At 46.6% G+C, this 7,892-nt stretch overlaps 1 pseudogene; it reads left to right on the forward strand.

Annotated features, from left to right (window-relative positions):
- On the forward strand, nucleotides 416-3,550 carry CYP4F10P (cytochrome P450 family 4 subfamily F member 10, pseudogene; annotated as a pseudogene).

The raw sequence follows: 7,892 nt of genomic DNA on the forward strand, positions 1-7,892 counted from the left end.
TTGAATGTCAGGACATGTTAAGATATATTGGAGCTATGTCACATGTTCCGGCTTTATGTCAGGAGATGGTAGAAAGTGCCAAGAAAGACGAAGTATACTAGGTCCCTGTAGAGGCATTTTGTAGTGTTGAGCTATGCTCAGGTTTTGCAGAACATGTTAGACTATTTTGGAGCCATGTCAAGTCGTACTGTAGCATGCTGTGCCATGTTAGGCTGTCATTGCTGCACTGTGCTGCTATAGCCTGGTCTAGTCTCCTCTCTCCTCCCACATCCTCTCTTCTTCCTCTCTCTTTGGCCCTCTTCCTGCTATGTGGGGCTTGGAGGGGAGAAGTGCAAACCTCTAGCTGGGAGCCTTCCCCCAACCCCAAAGTCCCTCCTTTACCCACCTCCATGGCCCCTGATTGTCCCCATTCATGTCAGCCACCATTGCACCAAAGGACAAGGTCTTCTACAGCTTCCTGAAGCCCTGGCTGGGGGAGTATCTGCAGGTGAACAGGGTTGGGAAATAAGTTGGGGGACCAGGGGAGGAAGATGACCTTGCCCATGGCCCTTGGCTGCCCTGCTAAGGGATGGGTTCCTGCTGAGTGCTGGTGACAAGTGGAGCTGCCACCGTGGGATGCTGATGCCTGCCTTCCATTTCAACATCCTGAAGCCCTATATGAAGATTTTCGATGAGAGTGTGAACATCATGCACGTGAGTTATTTGAAGCTAAGGTCCTAGCTGCAGACTTGGGGTGGAGGGACCACAGACAGATCTGGTGTAGAATTTTGGCTCTGCTGGGTGGCATTGGGCCATTGTTCTTCCTCTCTGATCCCTAGTTTTGTTTTGTTTTTTTTTAATCTGTAAAATGGGTATAATAATCCCTACTTAAAAGGTGGTCAAGGTGATGTAATGGAGTCATGTCCCTGGTGCATAGTAGGTGCCCAGAAGGTGTCTGTTTCTATGATTCTGTCACCCAAGCCCTATAAAATCAAGAGGGTCATGACGACAATTGCACAGTAGCTGTTGCTGATAAGAAACCACTTGAAAACTCATTGGTTTAAAACAATAAAGGTTTATGAATGTTAATAAGTCTATGGGACAGTTGGCAGGTCCTTCTCTATGTGGAAGGGATCAGTCATGGTACATGAGCAACCTGGAGTCAGGTAGGCAGCCTTGCAGGTGTTGGCTGAGTTCTCTCAATGTTTGGGTTTTGGCTGGCTTCAGACTGATACAGATGGCCTCAGCTGGGACCCCTGGATGTTCCTCCATGTGATTCTCTCCTTCCAGAAGGCACCCCGTGGTTCACAATGCAGGCAGGCAGGTTTCCACGGAGTGGCACGAGGCTTAGCTTCATTAGTTATTACCTCATCATTTTCACCACATTGCATTTCATCATTGAAAGCCATAATCCCAGCACACAATCAGAAAAGGAGAGGAGGAGTAAAATAGGCTCTGTCTCTTAAGGAAAGTCGCTAAAAAATCACATTGCAAAGCGTGTGGATATGGGGGTAAGTGAAGAATTGGGGCGAGGGTTTTGTGAAGTCTCCAGGTTTTATTAAACTTGCAAATTGATAAGTTAGCTTGTTACTATTTCATGGATTCTGCCAGAAGACAGGAGACTCCTGGGTCAGAGGCAAAGGGTGGTTTATTACTCATGGCACAGCAAGGAGTATGTGTTTCCTGTCAGATTGCATTGTTTCTCCAGGATACCCAAATCCCTTCGGGTGACATTGTTGGGCTTTTATAAATGCCTGCTCAGGTAGTATGTTGCATTACAGGGAAGGAGCATTAGGCTTAGGGAATAGCAAGCAAAGTAAGCCTGATACGGGTCCAAAGGGAGTCATTACCTTATTCTTGAACACTGTTCTCTGCACACACAACTCTCAGAAATGGCTGAAGTTAAGAACTCAGTGTTTTGCATTTTTAGCATACCCAAAAGGGATACTCAGGGCTCATGGAGGACTTCCTGTCCCAACATAGAGATATTTTTGTAATCAATTTATAACAAGGCAGATAAGGAAAGCCAACATTTATTGAACCCTCACTATATGCCATAAACAATGCCATGTGCCCATCCCATGGTATGAGTGTATATTGACTGATTTGATGTTCACTGTTCTTTGAAGGAGATATTTTTGCCTCACTGTAGAGGATGAAGCTGTGGGTCTGAGAGATTAGGGAGCTTGCCCAAGTTCACCCAGCTAATAAGTGAGCTTGGAGTAGTGAAACAGGGTTTCTAACCTTGTTTATGTGGCACCAAGGCAATCATCTCAACTGTTCCTCAAGATTTGACAGGTAGAACATAGGGAAGGATAAGGAGTTCGTTCACCAAGGACATTCAGAGCTGGAACTTGAACCCAGGTCTCCTGACTCCCAGTCTTGCATCTCCATCTCTTAATATTAACAACTTTTACTCTCACTGCAATTTGGTTACCCCTGGGGAGGGATTCTTGGGGAGAAAATGAAGAGGCTGGAATAGTGTGCCTTGGTGGTTGGGTTTGGGAGGGGCTCAAGGAAGCCAGGGACAAGCACCAGCTCTGTCCCCATCTCTGGCTAGGCCAAGTGGCACCTCTTGACCTTGGAGCACAATGCCTGTCTCGACATGTTTGAGCACATGAACCTCATGACCTTGGATAGTCTGCAGAAATGTGTCTTCAGCTTTGACAGCCAATGTCAGGAGTGAGTCTTTGCCCAGTGGCTGGGAATTTGAGCCATGGACCCAAAGGAGTAGGCTGGGGGAGAGAGAACTGATGAGGGCAAGCAGAAGTGCCTACCTGGAGGAGTTGTGTCACAGTCTTTGAATGACTGGTATAAACATTATCATGAGGTTTCCAGGGAGATATTGAAGGGGTTTGAGCTAATGGGCATGGTCAGAGCTGAGTTCTGTGAGGGACTGACTGTAGTGTGGACACTAAATGGAGTTGACATTGGATGCAGGGAGGCTAGGGTAGGGTAGAGACAGTTGGAAGAGGATGAGGTCTGATCTTTGTGAACAGTTTCAGGAAGGAGAAGGGGCAGGATTATATACCGGGGGCAGGGGAGAGAGAATAAATGCATGATGTTCAAGTTATGCTCTGGGTGCCTAGGGGCATGAAGGCATCTCACAGAGATGGGATGCAGGGAGATAAGGGCTTGGAGAATCAATCTCATAGCTGACCCCCTCTCTGTATGTGTGGGGTCATCTGTTTCTGTATACTCTGTTTCCTGATAGGAGGTAGCTCCTAGCTGCTGATGGGAGGTGCTTCTGGGGCTTCAGACATGTTAAGTTGTTGCCTCCCTTTCTGCCCTTATCCTTCAGGAAGCCCAGTGAATATATTGCCTCTGTCTTGGAGCTCAGTTCCCTTGTGGCAAAAAGAAACCAGCAGATCCTCCTGCACATGGACTTCCTGTATTATCTCACCCATGATGGGCGGCACTTCCACAGGGCCTGCCGCCTGGGGCATGACTTTGCAGACGCTGCCATCCAGGAGAAACGCCACACCCTCCCTAGCCAGGGTGTTGATGACTTCCTCCAAGCCAAAGCCAAGTCCAAGACCTTGGACTTCATTGATGTGCTCCTGATTAGCAAAGTGGGCTTCTCTGAGATTTGAATTCAAGAAGCAGAAGGGAGCTTAATGTCAAATATCAGATCAAAGAACTTAGACTTGATCCAGAGGGCACTGGGGAGTCATGGCAGGTGCTTGAGGAAGGGAGAGACAGGTCAGAGATAGGTTTTAGAGATGACTTTGCTGAATGCACCTAGCAGGGGACTGCTAGATGTGAAACTGACAAGTATAAGATTTTACTCTATTTATGCATTAATAAGCTAGTCTATATAAGTATTAATATATCTATATCTATATCTATATCTATATCTATATCTATATCTAATGTCTAGGTCATTGTCCATGCCTGAATTTGTGTCTGTGTCCATGACTATGTCTGTGTCTTTGTCTTTGTCATTGCGAGTGTCTGTCTTTGTATCTGCTTCTTTTTCTTTCGTTGTGTCTATATCTATGTCTTTGTGTCTTTTCTATGTCTGTGTCTGTCTTTTCTTTGTCTATATCTTTGTCAATGTCTATGTTTATGTCTTTGTGTATGTCTGTTTATATCTTTATGTATGTCTTCATCTCAGTCTTTATGTCTATGTTTAGTGTCTTTTCTGTGTCAATGTCTATATCTAGATCTATGTGTCTTTGTTCATGTCATATCTGTGTATCTATGTCTTTGTCTTTTTCTGTGCCTGTGTCTTTGTCTATGTCTATGTATATTTCTGTGTCTCTTTGTCTATGTGTATGTGTATGTGTATGTGTATGTCTATGTCTGTGTCTATCTCTTTCTCTTTGTCGATGTCTGTCTATGTATTTATCTACATCTTTGTCAATGTCTGTCTTTGTCTATGTCTGTGCCTATGTCTATGTCATGTTTATGCCTTTGTATATGCTCATGTCTATATCTTTCTCTATGTCTGTGTCTGTCTTTGTCTAATTCTTGGTCTTTGTCAATGTCTACATCTTTGTCTATGTCTGTGTCTTTGTCTGTTTCTTTTCTTTTTCTCTTTCTTTCTTTTTTTTTTTTTTTTGAGAAAGATTCTTGCTCTGTTGCCAGGCTGGAGTGCATGCAATGGCATGATCTCGGCTCACTGCAACCCCTGCCTCCTGGGTTCAAGTGATTCTGCTTCAGCCTCCTGAGTAGCTGGGACTACGAGTGCCCGCCACCACGCCCAGCTAATTTTTGTATTTTTAGTAGAGATGGGATTTCACCATGTTGGCCAGGGTGCGCTAGATCTTCTGACCTTGTGATCTGCCTGCCTTGACCTCCCAAAGTGCAGGGATTACAGGAGTGAGCCACGGTGCCCAGCGTCTTTGTCTGTTTCTATTTATGTCTACATCTACATCTTTCCCTACGTTTATGACTTTGCCTATGTCTATACCTTTGTCTATGTCTATATCTTTGTCTATATTTGTGTCTGTGTCTATGTCTATATCTATGTCTTTCTCTATGTTTATGTCTATGTCTTTTTCTGTCCATGACTTTTTCTATTGTGACAGATGTCTATTGTAACAAGTGCATTGAACACCTGGATCACAGCAGCCCATTTATTGCTCACAGTGACACTAGCAGCCGGAGTAGGATTGTAGCATTGGCTTTCATTCCCAAATCACATTTCTCCAAGAGCAATGCAATGTTTTTATCTGTATGTGGAACAGTGTTTGCGCCCTAGGAGAGGGGCTCCACATTACGAGTCTTGGCACATTTTCTATTTATTTTCTCGACAGAGAGAGAGAGAGAGAGAGAGAGAGAGCGAGAGCAAGAGAGAGTGCTTTATTCTGAAGCATAAACCAATTCTCTCCAGTGAGATGTAATAGTCTGTAGACTTACAACACAAATGTCTTCAGGGGAAATAAATAAGATTGTCTGCATTTACCACACTGGAATGTGAGTATACATCTTTGGAGCAATACTTAATCTCTAACTTCCAAGGCGAATTGTTATTTAATTATCCTGTAAGCTCATTTGCCAGTAACTTTTTCTCAGAAAGTTCTCAACATGTAGAAACATGAAAATATTCATGTGTCGTTGATTCTTCCCACCAGGGACAAAAGAAGAAGGAAGGAAGCCAGTGAGGAAGATTGCATGGTGTGGGCTCTGGTGATGGTGACCAAGAGACATCTAGGAGTGCAAGCTGGGCTTGGGTTTCTGGAAAGAGGATGGATCTTCAGAGTTTATTTCATGTTAGACTGAGGAGTCCTCAGAGCTTGTGTGGTTTTCAAGGGTGTTTTTCCTTCTCTCCAGGATGAAGATGGGAAGGAGTTGTCTGATGAGGACATAAGAGTGTAGGCTGACACCTTCATGTTTGAGGGAGAGGATCCCAGTGAGGACCAAGATGTCTCATCCCAGGGACGTGGTGGGTGGACCCTGGATGGCTTCACCCTTCCCATCCCCCTTCCCCCATCCTCTCTGAGGCCCTCAATCCATGGGTGCTGTCCACCCTGTTGTGCTGAAGCAGCCCAGAGACCCAAGACTGCCTGGCTGCCCCTCAGGCTATGACACCAGGACCAGTGGTCTCTCCTGGGTCCAGTACAACCTTGCAATGCACCCAGAATGCCAGGAGCGCTGCGGGCAGGAAAGGCAAGAGTTTCTGAAGGTCTGGGAGCCTAAAGAGATTGAATGGTGAGTGCAGGTGCTGGTGGCTGTTCCTGAGCTCCATGACTCATGTTGGCAATGCCGATGGCTCTGCTCCCCAGGTGGGGATGGGAGGAGGAGTTGTTTTTGTCTATTCTGCTACTATTGCTTAGTGGGAGTAGGAGTAGAGGATGACAGGCAAGGCTTAATACCCAGTCTGGCTATCAGGGGAGAAGTTGCAGGCTGTTTGGACAGCAAAGATCTGCTCTGCTGAGAGAATTGGTGACAACATGTGAGGGGAGATGATGCCACTTAACACATGTTTAGTAGATGAACTTCCCCTTTACTCCCTTCTTTTTATCCCTGAAATGTCATTTTGCATGCATAATCTGTTTTCGTTATTGCAACAACCTTGTGAGGTGCTGCTGCTGAAACGCCCATTTACGGACGTGAAGGAGCACAGCCTGGTGGTGAGGGGGGCACAATGTGAGGCTGGGTGGGTGGTCTGGGTGCACAGCCCAGATCCACCAGCTCTATGACTGTGGGTAGTCACTCAAATATTTTCCAGACTGGATTTCTCATTTGTAAAATGGAAAAACAAAATGGTTAATATAGTTAAAAGACTTAAAACAGGCTCCATGACTCATGTTGGCAATGTCGATGGCCGCCATTCCTGCTCTAACCTGCTTGCCCATCCCAGGCACACAGGAGGTCTGCAGTGAGCTGAGCCCCTCTAGCCACTGGGGGCACTTTCTTCTGTGTCCCTAGGACCCTGCCTGTTCATCAACCCCTGGCTTTGCTCCCTGAGCCTAAGAAGGATGGAACCACCAGCAGGTGAGGTCTGTCCTTGCAGAGGTAGTGGGGATTTTGGGGGATGCACCCTACGCGAATGAAGCTGTAGGACCAGGTGCCTGAATCCCCTGGCTGATTGAGCTGGCAGGGGTGGTGGGGTGGGGGTGGTCTAGGGGCTCCCCAGTACCCAGCCAGTGTCAGGAGTACTGTCTTCCCCACCCTCCTGCTCAGCAGTTCTGCTAGGAGCCCCCTCCTTCAAGCGCCCCCCTCACCTGAGTCCACCCCACAGGACAATTCAGGACAGGATCTAGGGAGGGCCAGGAGGGGAGCCCTGGATCTGTTGGGAGGAGAATCCTGCATGTGGGAGAAGGAGCCAGGTGCTGATCCAAGGGCCTCAAGATATTTCCCCTTTGGGGCTATCACACTGCCTGAGATTACTCCATTATAAATGTCCCTATATTAATATGGCATTGACACTAAAGAATGGGGGTGGAGCAGCATGGCAGAGGGAACGGATTTGGACTTGAGGGTCTCATAGTCTTGAGTTCCTATGAGCTCTGCAACTTGGACTAGAGGCCTGCCCTCTCTGAGCCTCAGTTTGCTTTTGTGTTAAATGGACACCTTCTCTCCTCTGGATGCCATCACTCAGGTCTCTTCAACAATGCCCAGGGTTCTGGCCTAGGGAGCTGTTGGGAGGGTGGTGGGACAGCTTTGGGCACTGTGATGCAGGTGAGCATCTGATACAAGCAGGTGCACGTTATATAGAGCACCTGGCACATAGTAGGTGCACCTTATGTAGAGCACCTGGCACACAGTAGGTGTACTTTATGTGGCGTACCTAGCACATAGTAGGTACACTTTATGCGGCATACCTGGCACACAGTAGGTGCTCTTTATGTAGCATATCTGGCACACAATAAGGCACACTTTATATAGTGTACCTGGCACACAGTATGTGTGCTTTATGTCAAGTATGTTGCACCGAGTAGTTTTACTTTATGTAGGGGACCTAA

Source organism: Homo sapiens, chromosome 19, assembly GCF_000001405.40.
Source record: "Homo sapiens chromosome 19, GRCh38.p14 Primary Assembly".
Lineage (NCBI taxonomy): Eukaryota > Metazoa > Chordata > Mammalia > Primates > Hominidae > Homo > Homo sapiens.